The following is a 23,395-nucleotide window of genomic DNA, read 5'->3' as shown; positions in this document are numbered from 1 at the left end:
TATTGTTAAAATGGCTATACTGCCCAAAGCAATCTATGCATTCAATGCTATTTCTGTCAAACTACCAATATCACTTTTCACAAAAGTAGGAAAAGCTATCCTAAAATCTGTATGGCACCAAAAAAGGGCCTAAATAGCCAAAGCAATCTTAAGAAAAAAAAAATGAAGCCAGAGGCATCTCATTATCTGACTTCAAACTATACTATATAGCTATAATAACTAAAACAGCATGGTACTGGCACAAAAACAGACATGCAGGGCAACAGAACAAAACAGAGAACCCAGAAACAAAGTTGCACACCTACAACCAACTGATCTTTGACAAAGTCAACAAAAATAAGAAATGTGGAAAGGTTCCACATGTCAATAAATTGTGCTGGGATAACCAGCTATCCATTTGCAGAAGAATTAAACTGGATCCCCTTCTAGTACCATACATAAAAGTTAACTCAAGATGGATTGAAGACTTAATTAAGACCTAAAAGTATAAAAATCCTAGAAGAAAACCTAGGAAATGCCCTTCTGTACATCAGCCTTCACAAAGAATTTGTAACTGAGTGCTCAAAAACAATTGCAACCAAAACAAAAATTGACAAGTGGGACCTAATAATTAAAGAGTTTCTGCATAGCAAAAGAAACTATTAACAGAGTAAACAGACAACCTACAGAATAGGAGAAAATATTCATAAACTACACATCCAACAAAGGTCTAATATCCAGAATCTATAAGGAACTTCAACAAATCAACAAGCCAAAAACAACCATATTAAACAGCAGGCAAAGGCAAAGGACAAGAACACACTCTTCTGGAAAGAAGACATACACCTGGACAGTGTCTCATGCCTGTCATCTCTGCACTTTGGGAGGCCAAGGCAGGAGGATCACTTAAAGCTAGGAGTTCTACATCAACCTGGACAATGAAGTGAGACCCCCATCTCTACAAAAAATTTAAAAATTAGCCAAGTGTGGTGGTGCGCCTATAGTCCCAATTACTTGGAAGGCTGATGTGGGAGGATTGCTTGTGCCAGGAGTTCAAGGTTGCTGTGAGCTATGACCACACACCACTGCACTCCAGCCTGGGAAACAGAGTGAGACCCTGTCAAAAAAAAAAAAAAAAAAAAAAAAAAGGTTGCTGTGGGCTATGACCACACCACTGCACTCCAGCCTGGGAAACACAGTGAGATCCTGTCAAAAAAGGAAAAAAAAAAAAAAAAAAAAAAAAAAAGAAGACAACATAGAAGCAGCCAACCAACATATGAAAAAATGCTCAACATCGATAATCACCAGAGAAATGCAAATCAAAACCATGAGATACCACCTCATACCAGTCTAAATGGCTGCTATTAAAAAATAAAAAAAAACAGATGTTAGTGAGGCTATGGAGACAAAAGAACTCTTATATGCTATTTATTGGTGGGAATGTAAATTAGTTCAGCCACTGTGGCAAGCACTTTAGAGATTTCTCAAAGAACTAAAAATAGAAGTATCATTCAACCCAGTAATCCCATTACTGGTTACATAACCAAAGGAAAATAAGTTATTCTACCAGAAAGACACCTGCATTCATATGTTGATTGCTGCACTATTCACAATAGCAAAGACATGATATCAACCTGGGTGCCCATCAACAGTGGACTGTATAAAGAAAATGTGGTGTAAGTCTTGGTGCGGTGGCTCACGCCTGTAATCCCAGCACTTTGGGAGGCCGAGGCGGGTGGATCATGAGGTCAGGAGATCGAGACCATCCTGGCTAACACGGTGAAACCCCATCTTTACTAAAAATACAAAATATTAGCTGGGCATGGTGGCAGGTGCCTGCAGTCCCAGCTACTCGGGAGGCTGAGGCAGGAGAATGGCGTGAACCTGGGAGGCGGAGCTTGCAGTGAGCCAAGACCACACCACTGCACTCCAGCCTGGGCCACAGAGTGAGACTCCATCTCAAAAAAAAAGTAAATGTGGTGCATACACATGAAATGCTACACAGCCATAAAAAACACTCAACGAAATCATGTTCTTTGCCACAACATGGATGCAGCTGCAAATTAACACAGGAACAGAAAACTAAATACTGCATGTTCTCACGCATAAGTGGGAGCTAAACACTGGATACACATGGACATAAAGATGGGAAAAACAGGCTGGGCACGGTGGCTCATACCTGTAATCCCAGCACTTTGGGATGCCGAGGTGGGTGGATCACCTGAGATCAGGAGTTCAAGACCAGCCTGGCCAACATGGCAAAACCCCGTCTTCACTAAAAATACAAAAATTAGCTGGGCGTGGGGGCGGGCACCTGTAATCCCAGCTACTCGGGAGGCTGAGGCAGGAGAATTGCTTGAACCTGGGAGGTAGAGATTGTAGTGAGCCAAGATCGCACTACTGTACTCCAGCCTGGGTGACAAGAGTGAAACTCAATCTTAATAAAAAAACAAAAAAAGATGGGAAAAATAGACACTGGGGACTACAAGAAGAGGCAAGGAGAGAAAGAGGGAGGGAAGGCTGAAAAACTACCTACTGGGGACTGCGCTCACAGAGGTTCAATCATATCCCAAACCTCAGCATCACACAATATGCCCTTATGACAAACCTGCACATGTACCCCCTGTATCTAAAATAAAAGTTGAATGGCTGGGCGTGGTGGCTCACTCCTGTAATCCCAGCACTTTGGGAGGCCAAGGTGGGTAAACCCTCTGAGATCAGGAGTTGGAGACCAGCCTGGCCAACGTGGTGAAACCCTGTCTCTACTAAAAATACAGAAATAAAATAAAAGTTGAAAGGTCTGGTGCAGTGGCTTATGCCTGTAATCCCAACACTCTGGGAGGCTGAGGTGGGAGGACCGCTTGAGGCCAGGAGATCGAGGCTGCTGTAAGCTATGATCTTACCACTGCACTCCAGCTTGGGCAACAGAGCAAGACCCTGTCTCCAGGACTCTTCAGTTTATAGAGAGATTTACTTACATTATCTAATACGATCCTCACTCCCTCCCACCTACCACCACCCTATTTTCACCCATCAAGTTATGTTAGTGTAGAACTGCTGAACTGAACATGGCGAAACCCATCTCTATAAAAAATACAAAAAAATTAGCCAAGTATGGTACTGTGCGCCTGTAGTCCTAGCTACTTGGGAGGCTGAGGCAGGAGGATTGCTTGAGCCCTGGAGTTTGAGGTTGCAATGAAGCTATGTTTGCATCACCACACTCTGGCCTGGGTGACAGAGCAAGACCTTGTCTCAAAAAATAAATAAAAAATAAAATAAAAGTTGAAATTAAAAATAAAAAAAGTCAGCCCAGTCAAATCCATAAGGCTCTGAATCCTTACTACAGCACTCACAGGCTCTAAGTCTTTGAGCACGTGCATTAACTTCTGGTCCCTCAGCTGCAAAATGGAGATGACGACAGTATTAACGCTTTCATTACGGGAAGGACAGAGGTGGAGAGCAACAGTTTCTGCTCAGTTCCTAACAAATAAGCATAGAATCCAGGTGGATGGTATTGCTATTATTATTGCTGTTTCTATCAGGATAAATGAGATCATATTTTAAAGTGCCCATTATAGTGACAGATATGTTTCTTGTTTTACAGAGACATCTAAAAACAGACAAGAATGAAGGTAATCCTCTTCCCACACAAATCTGCTCTTCCTCCTGTTTCTTTTCTCAGTAAATAGCATCAACCAGCCACCCAGTCAGCTGCCCATGATGCATCTGAGAATCATTTTTGCCTCCTCCCTCTTCAACTTTCATATCTACGTAACCATCAAGTCCCATCCATTCTGACTCCTGTATATGTTGAAAATCTGTCCATATTTCTCTGTCCTAATGGCCAGATCCTTGGTTTCAGTCATTATTAACTTTCATCTCAGTTACTCTAATAGCTTTTTAATTCTCTTCCTGACTTCAGTTTTGACATTTTCTAACTGATTCTTTATATTTTATATGTATATAATTTTCTTTGCAAAATTGAAAATTGACAAAGTATCTAACCAATTCTTTTTTTTTTTGAGATGGAGTCTCGCTCTCTCACCCAGGCTGGAGTGAACTGGCGCAATCTCGGCTCATTGCAACCTCCGTCTCCCGGGTTCAAGCGATTCTCCTGCCTCAGCCTCCCGAGTATCTAGGATTACAGATGTGTGCCACCATGCCCGGCTTTGTATTTTTAGTAGAGACGGGGTTTCACTATGTTGGCCAGGCTGGTCACAAACTCCTGACCTCAAGTGATCTGCCCACCTCAGCCTCCCAAAATTCTGGGATTACAGGGGTGAGCAACCATGCTGGGCCTAACCGATTTTTCAAAGGGCACCCAGAAGGATCTTTTCAAAAGGTTAATCTCATCTTTATAATCCTCTGTTGAAAACCATTTCAAAGGCTTCCCTTGGTATAAAGTCCTTTTTTCCTGGTCCACAAGGCCCTCTGCCAGCCAACCCCTGCTGACTTGGTGGTTTTCACTTCCTGCTACTATATCTGCATGTCCATAGTTCTGTCTCTAGGATTAGGCTAGGAATGCAGACGTGAGGACCTACAGGTGATGCCATTAGGGAAGCAGGCTGCATTAGAGAAGAATGAAAAGGCAGGTACTGAGATAAACTCGGAGTACATAATTGAAGGGCAGCTTGGAATGCTGGTCCATTTCCAGTGGAAAATGGAAACCTGGATTTTTATGGAAAATCTCCTGATTCATAAAACTTAGCTCAAAAATCTTAAGAATGTTGCATAGACTAAATGAAACACATTTGTGGGCTGAATCTGACTCCTAACAACCAGCTTGTGACCTCTGCGTTAGACCAAGTGTGGCACACTCCTGGACATGAAAGCGGTCTTACTTATCTTCACATGCCTAGAGCTCGAAACGCTGCACAGATTCTAACAAAATGTGTACTGAATAATGAGAGCTCTGGCACACCTACATTTCATATAGGCAAAATCTGGTATTAATGATAGCTACCAATAACTGAGCTCTTACTGCATGCCACGTGCTGTGTCAGAAATTTCACATACAAAATCATACTTGATCCTTATAACAAAGAAGTGAGCACCATCTTCTCTAATTTTTGGATGAAGAAAAATAGGCAGACAGGATAAGCCCCTTTCCCACAGGCAGGATCTAAGTCTGTTCAGACTTCAGAGCCTATGATTTGTATCTGACAGCCTTTTTCATCTGGAAAAGCAAGTGTTCCCAGTCCATTTGGCAATACAGGTGTTATTTGTAACACGTGACGCTGTTTAATAAATATGTTTAATTTTTTTATAAGGATCAAATGCATCAAGGTGGAGAGTAAAGAATGCTTCTAAAATGTTGGTATTCTAGCTGACAAGGACTCTGAAATGGTAAAATGCACGGTCAGCTGCAGTGTGCATTTCCATGTCACAGCTCATTTAGGTTACTGGTAAGTTACCTCTGAAAACAATTCATGCTTCCTCAGGCATCTTTCTATCCTGTAAATTCTAAAATCTCCACAAAGAAACTCCAAGAAGAATGCTGCCCTGAGTAGACTGGAATACTCTCATTTTTGTATTCTTGCCCTAAGGGTCAGAAATTATATTTCACAATGAAAGACAACAGTAAAGACAAATACCACTGGAAATTTGAAAAATCATAACATTCTGAAAATTTTTGAAAAATCTAAAGAGTTCTTGAGGCAGCTGTATACAAACCAGGTCTGTAATGACAAGTGTCACTTGACATATAGAGCCCACTGCTGTTATGCAGTTGTACAAAATGAGGGAAGTACAGTAAGCACATCTGTCCAGGGCAATTCTAACACAGTTCTCTTGGGCTCCTGGCCAAGCTTTGGGATTATGGTTGTTCTGAAGCCCTGGATGCTATGGCATTTGCCATTTAAATAGCTCTAAACCTGCATTCAGAGGAAAGCTTTAAAGAACACTTACAGACACAAGGTTTACATACTGGGGGCAAGAAACGTCAATTATTTTACTGACAACTCTCTGTGAAACTTACCTAGTAAACCCATACATTGCCTTGCTGAAGAGTCAAGCATGTTTATTTTACATGATTTTTGCAAAGACAAAACATGAGAATATATATTGTTTCCACCATCTCTCATGGACTGCCAGTGCTGCAATCAACTCTCAACCAGGGCATCAGCGTCCGCTCTGGCCTGTTCTATCTGATGCCACACTGCGGCTACAGTGAACTGGGAGTCATCTCCTGCAGACCTCTGTGGCCTCCCACTGCCATCAGCATGGAGATCACAGTGCTTAACATGGCCTGGCTGCTGCTGATCACTCCAATTTCGCTTCCATCTCACCAATCTGGCAACCACAGACTTTCAGTTCATCAGACTCTCAGAGGCTCTAAGGTTGCCTAAAACCTTCCTTTGTTTTCTTCTTTGTCCCATTCCCAATTATTGTCAGCTTCTCCTTCAAATTCATCCCCAGGGTAGCCCTCCCTCTCAAGGTCAAATCCCCTTTCATACGCTCTCTTAGCACGAAGCAACTCTAGTTCTTAGCTTTGATTAGAGTTGAGGTTTCAGGCCCAGCACAGTGGCTCACGCCTGTAATCTCAGCACTTTAGGAGGCTGAGGTGGGGAGATCACCTGAGGCCAGGAGTTCCAGACCAGCTTGGCCAAACATGGTGAAACCCTGTCTCAACTAAAAGTACAAAAATTAGCCGGGCCTGGTGGCGCATGCCTGTATTCCCAGCTACTCAGGTGGCTAAGGAACGAGAACTGCTTGAACCCCAGAGGTGGAGGTTGCAGAGCAGGGAGCTGAGAAAGCGCCACTGCACTCCAGCCCAGGTGACAGAGTGAGACTTAAAAAAAACAAAGTGTAGTAACCTCCAATTTGAGCCCTGGCTTCAATGGGTGATTTTTTATTTTTGAGATGGAGTTTTGCTCTTTCACTCAGGCTGGAGTAAAGTGGTGTGATATTGGCTCACTGCAACCTCCGCCCCTGGGGTTCAAGTGATTCTCCTACCTCAGCCTCCCAAGTAGCTGGGATTACAGGCATCCAACACCACGCCCAGCCAATTTTTGTATTTTTAATAGGAACGGGGTTTCGCCATGTTGGCCAGGTTGGTCTCGAAGTCCTGACCTCAGGTGATCCACCAGCCTCGGCCACAACTTTTTTTTTTGAGATAAGGTCTTACTCTGTCACCCAGGCTGGGGTGCAGGGGCGTGGTCATAGCTCACTGCAGCCTCAAACTCCTGGCCTCAATTAATCCTCCCACTTCAGCCTCCTGAGTAGCTGGGATTACAAACTGGAGCCACTGTGCTTGGCTCCAAGGCAATTTATTTAACATTTCAGTGCTTTATCTCTTACATGGAAATGATACTACTATATAACTACTATTGTTATGTGAATAAGTTAGCATGTGTTAAAGAGCTTAGAATAATATATTAACTATGATGGTGAACTTTAGGTATCCATCTGAGTGGATTAAGGGATATCTAGCTAGCTGGTAAAACACTATTTCTGGGTGTGTCTGGAAGGGTGTTTCCAGAAATGATGGGCATTTGAAGCAGTGGACCAAGCAAGGAAGACCTACCCTCATCCAGTTTGGGCAAGGCACCATCCAATTGGCGGAGGGCCAGGTAGAACAAAAAGGCAGAGGAAAGGTGAATTCGCTCTTTTCTGAAGCTGGGACACCATTTTCTCCTGCCCCTGGACATCAGAACTCCATGTTCTCCAGCCTTTGGACTGCAGAGCTTTTATCAGCAGCCCCCTGGTTCTCAGGTCTTCACACTTTAACTGAATTTGCTCCTGGCTCCCCTGGTTCTCCAGTTTGCAGACAGCCTATTGTGGGACCTCTCAGGCTCCATAACACGTGAGACGATTCCCTTAATAAATCCCTTCTCAGATATCCATATATCCTATTGGTTCTGTCTCTTCGGAGAACCCTAATACATTAGTAATTGTGCTTTTCAGGTTGAAAAAGTCACTTCAATTTTTCAAGTTATATCTTAATGCTTCACTTGGAATAGTTGTTCCTTCTATGGCTACCCCTTAATGCTTTAATCAGAATGACAGCATCATCCTCATTAACAACAATTCACTCTTTGACAGTGACTACAGCGCACTCTGGTATGGATTAAGTAGTACTTTACTGTTATCAACTCATTTAATTTTTCCTCCCATTTTACAGAGGCATAAACTGAATCACAGAGAGGTTAAGTCATTTCTCTAAGGTTATAATTGTTAGCGAATAGCGGAACCAGGATTTGAACCCAAGTAGTCTAGCTCCAGTGATTGCACTCTTACTAATTTAATTATACCACTTCAAAAGAGCATATTATATGAACATAGATATTCTGAACATTATAAGCACACAAGTTTATACCCAAAAGATTAAAGTAATTATTTTAGGGATCTTGAGCTCCGATGTCAGCAAGCTACCAGGACATCATGAGGCTTTCTGAATGAGTTCCACTTCTCCCAATTTCCAGTTTTTTGATCTTACACTGAGCAGATAAAGTCTCATCTATAAATCTGGGATAAATAATTCTTCTCCTTCTCTTTACATATGGTTATTTTGGGGATAAGATTAAGATCACAAACCAACTAAACACCATTTTAGAAAAAAACTTAAATTTTTTTTTCTTTTTTTTGAGACACAGTCTCGCTCTGTTGCCAGGCTGGAGTGCAATGGTGCGATCTCAGCTCACTGCAACCTCCGCCTCCCAGATTCAAGCGATTCTCCTGCCTCAGCCTCCCAAGTAGCTGGGACTACAGGCACCCGCCACCATGCCCAGCTAATTTTTGTATTTTTCGTAGAGATGGGGTTTCACCATGTTGGCCAGGCTGGTCTCGATCTCTTGACCTCTTGATCTCCCCGCCTCGGCATCCCAAAGTGCTGGGATTATAGGCATGAATCACCGTACCCCGCGAAAAAACTTAAATATTAAAAAAATTAAGCCAATGAGATTATAGATGAAACTGTTTTGCAAATTGGAAAGCTCTGTGCAAGTACTTTCATTCAAGTTCTTTTCAAAAGGCTTCTAACAGGCTCTCATCTAGACTTCTGAAATAGATACCAGACACTTCCCTGCCTCCAGTCTCTCACAATCAGAATCTATGTTTCACAAACCATCAACTGATCTACAAAAAAGTTATTTCCCCCTTTAAAAATATTTTAAAGAAATGGAATACCTTCTGAAATTATTATAAACTCCTTGGCTATGCATCTAGGGCTACTGAGACACAGTCCAAAGCCAACCAACTGAATATACTGAAAATAGCACTGGAGTATGCATAGGCCACGGCTTAGCCTCAGCTCTGAAAATAACTTTTTTTTTTTTGGACACAGGGTTTCACTCTGTCACCCAGGCTGGAGTGCAGTGGCACAATCACAGCTTACTGCCACCTCAACCTCCCAGGTCCAAGTAATCCTCCCACTTCAGCCTCTTGAGTAGCTGAGACTACAGGTGCTTGTCACCACACTCAGCTAATTTCTTCTTTTTTTTTTTTTTTAAATAAAAATGGGGCCCACAATGTTGCCTAGGCTGGTCTGGAACTAGGCTTGTCTTGAATTAATACTTCATTACAAGACAATGACATTTATGTATATGTTAGGTTGAACCATATGAAATTTTTACCTACCAAAATGGCAATTTCATATGATTCAATCCAACATTTTGCTAATTGATGTACTGTCTATCTTCCTTCCCCCTCCAACTGTGGAATGAGTCCATGAGGGAAGGCATTTTTGTACATTTTGTTCACTGCGGTATCTTCAGTACCTGGAACATAGTGGTATTTGGCAAATATTTGTTGAATGAATGAAATGAATTTACTAAGCTCTATTTGCCCTATATTCTTCTGTGTGATTTATATTTTATAGCCCCTTTGTTTCCTAATAGCATCCTAATTACCGTCATTCCTCAGCTGAGGAAACTGAGGTTTGGTGAGGTCAAGTGACTTCTTCAAGACACTTTTTTTTTTTTAGACGGAATTTCGCTCTTCTTGCCCAGGCTAGAGTGCAATGGCGCGATCTCGGCTCACTGCAACCTCCATCTCCCAGGTTCAAGCGATTCTCCTGCCTCAGCCTCCCAAGTAGCTGGGATTACAGGCATGCGCCATCATGCCTGGCTAATTTTGTATTTTTAGTAGAGACGGGGTTTCTCCATGTTGGTCAGGCTGGTCTTGAACTCCCAACCTCAGGTGATCCTCCTGTCTTGGCCTCCCACAGTGCTGGGATTACAGGCGTGAGCCACTGTGCCCGGCCAGACACTCTTAAATAATACTTTATGCCAGGCCATTTATATTTATGCTATAAAAGTTGTCCAAATTCAGGCTATCTTTCCTTTCTGAACTAGAACATGCAGAGATTCTACTGCAAACAGTGATTAAGAAACTCCAGAACCAAAAGGACAGATGGTGGGTAAGGAAGGGAACAGAGTGGAAAAAGACAGACACTAGTCAATGGGTATGGGAAAGCCTTCAATTGTTGGTGAAGTGCAGTATGAAACATTATCTAAAAATGACCCTCAGGCCTCCAGGCCCTCTGCCTCTTCAACTGTCTTGACACCTGCAGCCCTGTCACTGGTGTTGCTTACTTGGGAACTGGGAGTGGATGATGGATGGCTTTTACCTTTGGCCTGCACATGAGCCTGGCTGGGACTACCAGATTCTTCCAGCAAGCAAGAGAGTATTCTCACTCTTTTTACCATTTCCTCTGTGGATGAAATTGGGGATGCCTACCTACAAAATTCTGTTGCTTTAAAAGACTTTCCCCTAACCTGACTATGGAGATATAGTGCCAAACAGAACAAGTTAACATATTTTTAAGTAAAGGGGCTTTCGGTTTGAAATTTGTTGCTGTTCCTCATTTCCCTGTAGTGCAAAAATGCACTCTACCTTTTGGAAAGGGAAATCATAATTTTTTACTGCCATTATTCTTTTTTCTTTTTTTTTTTTGAGACGGAGGTTCACTCTTGTTGCCCAAACTGGAGTGCAATGGCGTGATCTTGGCTCACCGCAACCTCTGCCTCCCCCTGGGTTCAAGCGATTCTCCTGCCTCGGCCTCCCGAGTAGCTGGGATTAGAGTCATGCACCACCACGCCCAGCTAATTTTTGTATTTTCAGTAGAGACGGGGTTTCTCCATGTTGGTCAGGCTGGTCTTGAACTCCTGACTTCAGGTGATCTGCCCGCCTTGGCCTCCCAAAGTGCTGGGATTATAGGCTTGAGTCACTGTGCCCGGTCATTTTTTTTTTTTTTTTTTTAGTCAATCTCTGGTAAATAAACTGCTAGTACTCTTCATGCCAGGGGTCTCAGGTCCCATGTAGGGTTTATTCATGAGTGGCCCATTACAATTTCCACTCTTGCTGAAACATTCTTTCCCTTCAGCCAGAATAAGCTCACTTTCTAGGATATGCAATCTGTGGCAGTCGCAAGATATATTTTCCAAAACCTGAAAGAGGATAAATGGATGATTTCTCAAATGCCCTGAAGTAAAATGAACAACTCTGGGCTGTCATAAAATCAGAGTTAGATGACACTCCTAAGTGATTAATTCTTTGAGATTTGTAGGACATTTTTAAACACAGAGGGGAAAAAAGCCTACATTTCTTCTAGAATTTGTAGTCTAACCCTGGAAGTGCTGGGCTACAAAACAGAAAAGCAGATGATGAGCCAAGGCATGGGAGTCAGAGGGTAGGGCAGCCATCTCCCAGCCTATCACATACTGGCTGGGGGCCTTTGGCAAGTTAGTTAACTTCTCTAACTCTCAGTTTCCTCACGTGTAGGAAAATCAAAGAACAGGAAATGCATGCAGAACACAGCACAGTGTCTGATATGCAACAAATGTTCAATAACTATTAAATAACAAAATATCAAACATTAGGGTACATAAGGAGAAAGAGTTCTCTAAAACTGCCTCTCTTCTAATGCCCTAGCCCCTGGATAAGTTTAAGTATCTTTTGCTTGGAATCAATGGAATAAATTTAACATTTTTTCTTGTGCCTCCAGGACTAATTAAGCACAGCTCTGGCCTTATAAAAATCCAATATTAAACCAGATATAAAGGATAAATTGCAGGCCAGGCACAGTGGCTCACATCTGTAAACCCAGCACTTTGGGAGGCCAAGGCGGATGGATCATCTGAGGTCAGGAGTTCAAGACCAGCCTGGCTAACATGGCAAAATCCCGTCCCTACTAAAAATATAAAAATTAGCTGGGCATGGTGGTGTGCGCCTGTAGTCCCAGCTACTCTGGAGGCCGAGGCAAAAGAATCGCTTGAACCTGGGAGGCAGATGTTGCAGTGAGCTGAGATCATTGCACCACTGTGCTCCAGCCACTGCGCTCCAGCCTGGGCGACAGAGTGAGGCTCCATCTCAAAAAACAAAAACAAAAACAAAAACAAAAAAAAAGAGGAGAGATTGCTTCCTTAATCCCAGACAGCACAATTCAAGTGTTGCCAAGGTAAGAGAAGATGCTCTTCTTCAGAGTCAATGGGTCACTCACTACATATAATAGCTTCTTGTCTCACAGACGAAGATTCCTGAGAGAAGCAAACATGATAGGTGGTTCTTTCCAAGGTGGTACAAAATATAAGTGATACATCCCTAAACAGAATACAGGATGAAAAATACTCAAGATTCTCACCAGTTTGAAGCTTTCACTTTCAGGCAATTGTTTAATACCAACTTCGACGCTGCCATCTTCCTCACTACTAATAGGTTCGGTGCCGCTCTGATCCTATGGAACGTTAAAAAGAAAATGGCAAAGATGTCATTCTTCACTTACACTCCCTCGAATTGTACAGATACTCAATGTCATTTGCTCATCATATGGTTGTGGTGGATATTGTTTCCTCTGAGGAAGTATTTTCTGTTTCTTTCTTTCTAGCAGAAGACTGTTTTGTTGTTGTTGTTTCAGGTATCTATCTCTGCTGCTCACAGATAGGCCTTAGGGAAAGCTGGTCCCCACCCTCTGTTTCAGGTGTAGGCCTGATTGCCTAGGATAGTCTTTTTCTTTTCCCAGTGATTTTGTCCAGAATGGGCAGATCAGGAATAGATTTTGTCAGTTCTGGCCAATGAAATATAAGGAGAGGTTTGCTGGAGATGTGTGGAAAAGTTCTTCTTTAGTCTTAAGAGAGCTGCAAGAAGTCCCTATACCTCCCAAATTAACAAGAGAGCATGAGCCCAAGTTTCCATGGACGACCGTCCCATGACAATGAGGGAACCAGCCTTAGGATAAGGCTGACCCTGTGGGTTACAAAGCAAATGTAGACATAGAAAGAACTGGTTCTCTGCTGGCAAAACTAGGTCACTGGATTGAGCAAACTTGGAGCCCAGCCTTATCCTTAACCACCTTCTGTGAGAGCTAATACATTTCCTTTTGCTTCAACCGGTTTGAGTTAGCCATTCTGTTACCTCCAGCCCAAGCTTTCTCACTGAGTCAGTTGACTGTTTTTTGTATATGACTAAACTGTTTGAGATAAGAGACTGGGTTTATCTTGTTGATTTCTTTTATTTATTTTTTTTATTTAATAAAAAATGTTTCTTTAAAATTTAATAAATGAATTTTTTTTTTTTTTTTTTGGTGGGGCAGACAGTCTCACTCTATCGCCAAGGCTGCAGTGCAGTGGCACGACCTCCGCTCACTGCAACCTTCGCCTCCCGGGTTCAAGTGATTCTTGTGCCTCAGCCTCCTGAGTAGCTGGGACTACAGGTGCATGCCACCACACGGGCTAATTTTTGTATTTTTAGTAGATGGGGTTTTGCTGTGTTGGCAAGGCTGGTCTCGAACTCCTGACGTCAAGTGATCTGCCTGCCTCAGCCTTCCAAAGTGTGTCTTGTTGGTTTCTGAAATCAAGTCCCATCACCATGCCTGGCACGTGGAAACCACCTAACACTGATGGAACTAATGAATGCACTGAGTACTTGTTTTCTTTCGTGACTTTTTCCTGCAGAATCCTGAAAATATGTATTTACATAAATGAGACACCTGGCAATAATACATACCACTAAAAATCTAAAACACATTAGGCATCTCCTCAATTGAATTGTGACATATTAAATGTTATAGTTAACTAACTAGAAGTTATTTTACTTTCTGGGGATATATAAGGAAGGATAAGGATGACAAATGGAATATCCACATTGTACTTACCTGGACTTTTATTTTTAATCACCACCATCCTGGGATTACTACAGATTTGGCTGAAATAGTTTATAGGGAAAAGAGTTTTGATTTTGAGACATTCAATCTCACTCATAATTTGATGCAATTAAAGCAAAGAGAGCATTCTTTCAACTATCAAATGGACAACAGAATAGGAAAAGAACATTCAATATTGGTAATGTCAGGGAGAAAGGAATTTTTATACATCACTGAGTGAATATAAATTAAGATAATCTTTTCAGAAAAAAAAATACTCTGTGTGTGTGTGTGTGTGTGTGTGTGTGTGTGTGTGTGATTGCTTACTTCTGGGGAGTGGAATTGGGGAACGGGTAATTTTTGCATTAATTATTTCTATACTGTTTGATTACAGAAGAATTATCACATACGATTGCATATTTAAACATAAAGTAAGGGGAGACTATGAGAAACACCTAAAAGAAGAAAAAAAAATTAAAGAAAGCAAGCAGCATGGACTTTAGAATTGGGCAGATTTGGGTTCAAATCTCAACTTTGCCACTTAGAATTATATGACTTGGGGCAAGTTGCTTTCAAACCTGAGTACAGGTTAAGTATCCCTTATCCAGAATGCTTGGAAATGTTTTGGACTTCAAATTTTTTCAGATTTTGGAATGTTTGAATTATACTTACCAGCTGAGCATCCCAAAACCAAAATGAAAAATCTGAAATCCAAAATGCTTCAATGGGCATTTCTTTGGAGCATCATGTTAGTGCTCAACAAGTTTCAGAATTTGGAGCATTTCTAACTTCAAATTTGGGATGCTCACCTGTAACTTAACTTGTTTTTAAAGTGCAGATAAAATACCAGATTAAAAATACTACCCTATAAGGTTGCTTTAAAAGATTAATGAGTTAATATGTAAAATATCCATTTGCATAACACCAGGTACAGTTAACTTTTGTTTCTAGATTTTAAATATAATTTACTATTTTCTTTTCTTTCTTTTTCTTTTTTTTTTTTTTTTTTTTTTTTTGAGACAGAGTCTCGCTCTGTCGCCCAGGCTAGAATGCAGTGGCACGATCTCGGCTTACTGCAACTTCTGCCTCCTGGGTTCAAGCGACTCTCCTGCCTCAGCCTCCCGAGTAGCTGGGATTGCAGGCACCCACCACCAGGCCCAGCTAATTTTTGTATTTTTAGTAGAGACGGGGTTTCGCCATGTTGGCTAGACTGGTTTCAAATTCCTGACCTCAAGTGATCCACCCACCTCAGCCTCCCAGAGTGCTGGGATTACAGTGTGAGCCACCACGCCCGGCCTTTTCTTTCTTTCTTTGTTTCCATGTGAATTTGACAGAACTGTTTCTAGCTTTTTGTTGAAGCAGATTCTTTATTCTTGCACTATCTCATATAGTCTTCCTAATAACCTGCTAGGGGAATGTACCACCATGATCCCAATTCATAAATGAGGATAATGATACATTTTAAATCACTTGCTAAACAACTCCAGGCAGTAAAAGGTAGATCTAAGATTCAAAGCTGGGAAAGGGCCATGCTAGGCCCTCAATAAATGATGCTCTCATTTCTCTCTCGTTCTTCCTTTTCAGTATTGAGTGTTGACAACTGATCTTACAGAAGATAAGACTCACAATCTTTCAAACAATTATTGTTAATAGACCATGGATTTTCTAAAACATGTCTTAGGATTTTTTTAACCAGAAAATTGTATTAGATAGAACATCCTCTTCTCAGTGAATTTTGGATAATCAAGGAGTTACCATGTGAAATAAACATACCCAAGTTAATACATCTTGAAAACATACAGATTTTCAGCATTTTTGACAGTGGTAATGTAAGTGTTAGAAACAGAAATTCTGAACAAAGGAATTACTCTTTAAAAATCAGTATTTAATCTATGGAAAACTTGTAATATCCAAATTCCTTAGTGTGTCTAGTTCTGCAAGCTGTGGGAGCCCCTGAAGAAGGCCTGGCGAGGTTACGGTGGCCAAGTGGAGCTTTGAAATAGTCAATGTTGGGCTGGGTGCGGTGGCTCACGCCTGTAATCCCAGCACTTTGGGAGGCTGAGACGGGTGGATCACGAGGTCAGGAGTTCAAGTGGGCAAGATGGTGAAACCCTGTCTCTACTAAAAATACAAAAAAATTAGCCAGGCGTGGTGGTGGGTGCTTGTAATCCCAGCTACTCAGGAGGCTGAGGCAAGAGAATGGCTTGAACCCAGGAGGCAGAGGTTGCGGTGAGCCGATATCACGCCACTGCACTCCAGCCTGGGCAACAGAGAGAGACTCCGTCTCAAAAAAAGAGAAATAGCTAATGTTTGTAGCTGCAGCACATTAGACTGTAGAACGAACCCACAGGTTCTGTTAGTAACCCTGCAAATGGCCACCACCTCTGGTCCCAGAAGAGAGAGATTCTCACATGAAGAGGCGTCAGCTGAAAACATTCATCTAATTATGCACATGTCCCCTTAGGGAAAGGAAAGCGTTCCTTAAATAAATTAGAGGAACCTTTACTTTTACATTTCTCAGCAATATGCATATTGAAGATAAGATATTCTTGGTCTTTATAAAATGAATACTAAAGTAGAGGAGAAAACAGCTGTTTAAGGGATGCGTCAACCTGTAAAATTTAAGAAAACATGGGCAAAGCAGTCTAGGTTCCAAATAGTCTATGCATCCTTTAAGATGTGAATAGAAACAAAAAATACTCTCTATGTCTACACCACATCCCACACTTAGAAACTAGAGGATCAAATGAAGCAGAATTTATCATTCAAAGCCAGGTCTCAAATGTCACTTGTTCCATTGTATCTTTTCCTTCTCCTTACCTGGGGGACATCTCTCCTTCCTCTAAATTGTAACATTCTACCTGAACCTCCTCTGTCACTTAACATTCATCTCTTTTGTATCCTAATTATGCATGTACAGAACTGATCTCCCTGACGGGACTGAAAGATCCTTGAATCGAGCATCTGGGCCTCATTCATTCCCACTGCCTGATTCATTTTTCACCCTAGGTCTGTTTTACTTCAAATTCCATACTCTTTTTAACTGTACTACGCCTCCCCACTTTTCCTCTTAGTCTGAGATGACTCCGTAGAGGAGGGTTTGAAGTCCAAATCTAGATGGAGTTGGGAGTCAGGCAAAAAGGAAGTTGGAATTGAGGGAGGATAGCAATAAAGCATTTACTTTCTAGGAGAGCTAAAGTCTGTAACAGTTTGATGTTCACATTCATGTTACATTACAAGTAGAGCTAAAGTTGTAATGTTTATGCTAAAATGAGGTACAGAACATAACAATGTGGATCCTTTCCCTCCCTCCCTCCCTCCCTCCCTTCCTTCCTTTCCTTCCTTCCTTCCTTTCTTTTTTCTTCACCATCTCACTCTGTCACCCAAGCTGGAGTGCAGTGGCATGATCACAGCTCACTGAAGCCTCGACCTCTTGGGCCCAGGTGATCCTCCCACCTCAGCCTCCCAAGTAGCTGGGACTACATGCATGCACCACCATGCCTGGCTAATTTTTTGTAATTTTTGTAGAGACAGGGTTTCACCATGCTGCCCTGGCTGGTCTTGAATTCCTGAGCTCAAGCACTCCTTCGGTCCTAGCCTCCCAAAGTGCTGGGATTACAGGCATGAGCCCCTGTGCCTGGCCACAACAATGTGGATTCTGCTCTGAGAACAGAATGGCTCATGAGGTAAGGAGTCTTCAAAATACCCCACTCACCAGGAGCTTGGAAAATAGCCAAGAGTCTGATATGGGAAAGGGAAAACAGGTCAGCAGCGTGATTTCTAAGGCACGAGTGAATTAGAGTGGTTTGAGGACCATCTGGCTGACGGATGGGGGCCAGTTGACACCCAAGATGACTCAGCTAATCCGGATGGCTGGGTGTTCCTGTCGTCTCTTGCTGATCTTCAAACCACCTGTCCAAAGCTGCCTGCTCAGCCAGGCAGCTTAAGGAGAACAACTTCTCCCTATGAGATCACAGTCAGTGGATTCCACAGTCAATTATGTTTTGTAGATGAACAAACAGAAAAGGCAAGACTTGTAAGGTTTGCAGATCAACCCCTACTGAGGTTAGTCTTTTTCAGACCTTTAGGAAGTTCCAAATTCCCTCCCCTGGGCTCTCCCAAAATCTTCCACATAAGTGATTGCAGAAGTGATAATGCTTATTATTTTAAACTCCTTTTTTTTTATATCCACCATTTGTCTATAATTTTCTTCAAACTGAACAGCGAATCTTGATAGCAAGAATGCTATTTTATTTGAGAGTAGGCATTCAATAAAAGTTAAATTCGTTAAGGATGTTATTGTGGATTGAAAAAACATTTCCTTTTTTTTTTTTTTATTTGAGACGGAGTTTCACGGTTGTTGCCCAGGCTGGAGTGCAATGGCACGATCTCAGCTCACTGCAACCTCCGCCTCCTGGGTTCAAGTGATTCTCCAGCCTCAGCCTCCCGAGTAGCTGAGATTACAGGCGCACGCCACCACACCCAGCTAATTTTTGTATTTTTTTTAGTAGAGACGGGGTTTCGCCATGTTGGCCAGGCTGGTCTTGAACTCCTGACCTCAGGTGATCCGCCAGCCTCGGCCTCCCAGAGTGTCGGGATTACAGGCGTGAGTCACCGTGCCTGGCCCATTCCCATATTTTCTAAATCCAATGTTCTTTTAGAAAACACACAAAATAATTTTAGTCTCATCGCCAACCTAAATTCACAAATATTTCCCTCTGCAAAACCTTGTTTACCACATGTGACAAACTGAATTTCTTTCTTCTAACCCCAAACGTGAGCTTATTTACTAGGCTGCTCAGAATTCTAGAAAGGCAAGGCAAAATTAAAATAAAATGGAAATTATGCTAATGGAACTCCCTGCATGATCAACCTCCCTGATCTTTATGAGGCCTGTTCCATCTCAGTTAGTACTTTAAAAAACACAACTTCTAAGAAAGCAAAAAGGAGGTCCTTGTTTGTATTGAAGATATTCTAAAAGATTTAGGCTGTCCTGTCAATAAATGGAATAAGTATGTCGGAACCCAAGTTATTTGAGCCCTCAGTACCTCTTACTAGACGACAGCAATGGCTTCTTAATTGGGTTTCCCTCTTCAAGATGTCTTTAACATTGCTATTAGACTAATCTTTCTGGAGTACAGCCTTGATCAGATTGTTTCATTGTTCAAAATGCCTTCAACAGCTCCGAAACCAAAGAATGAAATTCAGACCCTCTGGGATTTAAATGTGGAATCTAAAAAGTTGAACTCATAGAAGCAGAGAGTAGTGGGAGGGGCTGGTGGATGGGGTGAAGGTTGAAGACATGTTGGTCAGAGGATGCAAAATTTCAGTTAAAGTAATAAGTTCTAGAGATCTGTTGTACAGCAGGGTGACCACAGTTAATAACAATGTACAACAATGTACTGTATTCTTGAAAATCTCTAAGAAAGTAGATTTCAACTGTTCTCACCACAAAAATAAGTACGGGAAGAAATACATATGTTAATTATCTTGTTTAGCCATTCTACAACATACACATATTTCAAAACATCATGTTGGCCAGGTGCAGTGGCTCACTCCTGTAATTCCAGCACTGTCTCGAGGGGCTGAGGTGGGAGGATCTCTCGAGCCCAGCAGACTGGGCATGGGCAACATAGTGAGATTCTGTCTCTGCAAAAAAATCTTATAGTAGCCAGGTATGGTGGTGCGTGCCTATAGTCCTAGCTGCTCAGGAGGCTGAGGCAGGAATATTATTTGAGCCTGGGAGGTCGAGGATGCAGTGAGCTGAGATCATGCCACTGCACTCCAGCCTGGCAACAGAGCGAGATCCTGTTTCAAAAAATAACTGCCCCCCCCAAACCAAAACCAAACAAAAAAACCCATCATGTTGTATATGATAAATATATACAATTTTTATCAATTTAGTTTTTAAAAGGAAAAAAAATCCTGTTTTGTATGTAACTATTAAAAATGGAAGATGCTGGAGGCTGGGAGTTCTACTAGAGGGCTGTGATAATATAAGTACAATCACAACAAAAATGAGGTCTTATCATGTGCCAGGAATAGTGCTAAGCCTTTTATAAACATTACTTAATACTTCTAACAAGTCCATAGAATTAATTATTATTATCAAACCCATTTTAAATGTGAGGAATTGAAGTTTATAGAGCATAACTGGCTCAAGTTCACTCTGCTAGTAAATGGTAGAACACTGATTGAGACTTGGCTCTGTCTGACATCCAAGCTTATGTTCACATCACTATGCTGTAGAATTGTGCCAATGGTATTATAATTACCACAAGCACTGCATCATAATCCCTTATAAATATATATAGCTGTAGGAATAAAATATTTTTACACCTGGCCCTCATAACTACCCTTTGACACAGGCAGAGGAGGCTATTAACCTGGCTTTACAGAAAAAGACAGACTTTGGGAGGTTAACTGCCTCTACCAAGGTTGTATGCCCACAGGTAATTGGTAGAGCCAAAACCAAAACCCACATAGTCAGAATTCTTGCTCAGTGTTTTATTAGCACTCTTGCTCACTCAACTAGCACAGAACTACATGAAACAATTTTGTTCTCTGCGATACCCTTCGGGTCTAGAACATTGACACATAATAAGAGCTCAGTGACACTAGGCTCGGTAGCTCACACCTGTAATCCCAGCACTTTGGGAGGCTGAGGTGAGAGGACTGCTTCAGGTCAGGAGTTCAAGACCAGCCTTGGTAACATGGCGAGATCCTGTCTCTACAAAAAATTTAAAAATTAGCCAAGCATGATGGTACGTGCCTATAGTCCCAGCTACTTGGGAGGCTGAGGCAGGAGGATTGCTTGAGCCCAGGAGTTTGAGGCTGTAGTGAGCCATGATAGCACCACAGAACTCTAGCCTGGGCTACAGAAAAAGATCTTGTCTTTTTTTTTAAAAAAATAGCTCAATAAGCATTTGCTGAACAAAGAAATAAATATGAGATACCATTAACATATAATAAAACTGCTACTTAATAATACTGAATTATTATTATCAGGTCCAATTTAATAATGATATGGCTCTATTTCATCTATTTGGTTATGATTTGAATGGGCTGTCTCTTTTAGCCATATGCTGGATATGAGTTATGCTTTAGTACTCAATAGAAACATCTAAGGGGGAAAAAGATATACTAAGAGGGTCCACATAGGCAAATGGGAAAGGAAGAGAAAGTGGTCAGGGATATGCGTCCTCTTCACATACCGCCCACAGGAGGGGTGGCATTCATCATTTGGTAGCAGTTACCACAGCCAACAGTCCAGAGTGGAACTAAAAAGCCCTCTCTAGAATATAATCAAATTGTGATGGTTCAATAGAAACATCGCCCGCATAGCATATGCTGTTAGAGAAAGGGATTTATTATTTATTTATACATTTAAATGCCTAATGTGATTTCATTATTTTTGAAAATGAAATACAAATAATGGCACACAAATTTGATTAAGATACGTGATAATGTTCTTGAAACTTAAGACTGGCATTATTTATACTTTACATATTTTTTACATACTAGCCTGCTTTATTTTCTTATTATTATTATTTATTTATTTACTTATTTATTTTTGAGATGGAGTCTTTCTCTGTCGCCCAGGCTGGAGTGCGGTGGCACGATCTCGGCTCACTGCAAGCTCCGCCTCCCGGGTTCACGCCATTCTCCTGTCTCAGCCTATTTTTTCTATTTTTTAGTAGAGAGGAGGTTTCACCATGTTAGCCAGGATGGTCTCGATCTCCTGACCTCGTGATCCACCCGCCTCGGCCTCCCAAAGTGTTGGGATTACAGGCGTGAGCCACCACGCCCGGCCTAGCCTGCTTTATTTTACATACTAGCTTGTACTTTTTATTTTACATACTAGCCTGCTTGTTTTAAAAATAAAATCAGTCTTCTAAATTTTCAGAACAGCTATTCTTTGAAAGACTCTAGTAAATAGTACCACTATCTACCCAGTTGCTCAAGCCAAAAATCTAGGTTTATCCATGACTCTCTACTTCCCCTCAGCTCCCTCGTTTAATTAATCAAGTTTGACTCAACCTCCAAAACATCAAGGATCTGCTCACTTTTCATTGCTTCCAATACCAACACTTCATCCAAGCCACATTAGGGCCTCACTGGAGCTTTTGCCTTTTACCATATTACTTTCCCACCAACCCACTCCCTACCTAGCAGCTGTGGGAGATGAGAATATGCCACTCTAAAAAGGAAGGATCCATGAGCTGAAGGCAATTAGGAAGAAGCAGATGCAGGAAAACCCTCTGCTCTCCCTCTATTTGTCTAAAAGCAGGACATACATATATAAAGACAAAGGTATCCCCCTCCCTCTGAATCAGGGAGAGCAAAGGTTAACCCCTGAAGGTAACACAGAATGTTTATCCCCTGGAGATGGCACCAGGGGAATCTACATGAGCAAGCTATACCAACTAGCCTTTATCTGCCAGTTGTTTGCCTTCCCTCAAGTTGCCACCCCTAGAGACAAAGTCCTCTTCCTTTGTCTTGTCATTTCTCTAAACATTTACCATTTTTGTTAAAGATGCTATTTAAGCTAGAATTTAAATCTATCTCATTGAGAACTACTCATTCCCTGAGTGTTTGCCATGTATATAAGAAACACATATGTCATTAAACTTCTGTTTGTTTTGCTCTTGTTAATCTATCTTTTGTTTCAAGGGTCCATTCCAACTAAGAACCTATGAGGGTTGAAGAAAAAAGTTATTTTTCTTCCCCTAAATAGCCAAATGGATCCTTTAAAAACTATGTATCAGGTCACCTCACTCCCCTGTTTAAATCCTTCCAGTGGCTTCTACTGCATCTAGAATAAAACCCAACCTTCTAACTCTGACTTACACAGCCTTTCTCTCCCTCTTGTCTCATATTTCACTGCTCTCCCAGCTTCTAAGACGCTTCCAGCCATATTCCTCAAACACGCCCCAGCTCATTCTCACCTGAGAGCTATTTCTGTCCTCTCAGCAGGGAAGGCTCCTCCCTCTTATTTTTGAATGTCTGGCTTTTTCTTTTAATTTTTATCTTATTTAAATTTTACCTTGCCCAAGTGTAACCAAGTACTCCCATTTTTCTAAGAGATAATTATTTTTTTCTCTCTTCTCTCCTCTTTCCCCCAGTTCCCCACTTCCTACTCAGCCCTTTAGAAATGCAAACATAGGGTCATGCCTGTAATCCCAGCACTTTTGGGAGGCCCAGACGGGCAGATCATCTGAGGTCAGGAGTTCGAGACCAGCCTGGCCAACATGGTGAAACCCCGTCTCTACTAAAAATACAAAAATTAGCCAGGCGTGGTAGTGTGCGCCTGTAATCCCAGCTACTCGGGAGGCTGAG

At 41.8% G+C, this 23,395-nt stretch overlaps 1 protein-coding gene across 19 annotated transcripts in view, besides 1 other annotated feature; it reads right to left on the bottom strand.

The window, feature by feature from the left end:
• Positions 1–23,395, bottom strand: part of PATJ (PATJ crumbs cell polarity complex component) — a 421,436-nt gene that overhangs the window by 100,298 nt on the left and 297,743 nt on the right. For all 19 annotated transcript variants that reach the window (XM_011540462.4, XM_011540467.4, XM_011540464.4 and 16 more), the window contains one exon: positions 12,560–12,652. In XM_011540462.4, coding sequence (XP_011538764.1) covers positions 12,560–12,652 — 93 coding nt within the window. The remainder of the gene's footprint in view (positions 1–12,559; positions 12,653–23,395) is intronic.
• Positions 17,756–18,285: an enhancer, noted in NCBI's record as "H3K27ac hESC enhancer chr1:62511005-62511534 (GRCh37/hg19 assembly coordinates)". NCBI's record gives its function as "activates a minimal SCP1, AML or CMV promoter by ChIP-STARR-seq in primed H9 embryonic stem cells {active_cell/tissue: H9 hESC(primed)}" and the evidence as "EXISTENCE:reporter gene assay evidence [ECO:0000049][PMID:30033119]".

This window comes from Homo sapiens, chromosome 1, assembly GCF_000001405.40.
Source record: "Homo sapiens chromosome 1, GRCh38.p14 Primary Assembly".
In the NCBI taxonomy this organism is placed as follows: Eukaryota; Metazoa; Chordata; class Mammalia; order Primates; family Hominidae; genus Homo; species Homo sapiens.
Note: the sequence above shows the minus strand (reverse complement) of the source record. Positions and strands in the feature narration are given on the sequence as shown.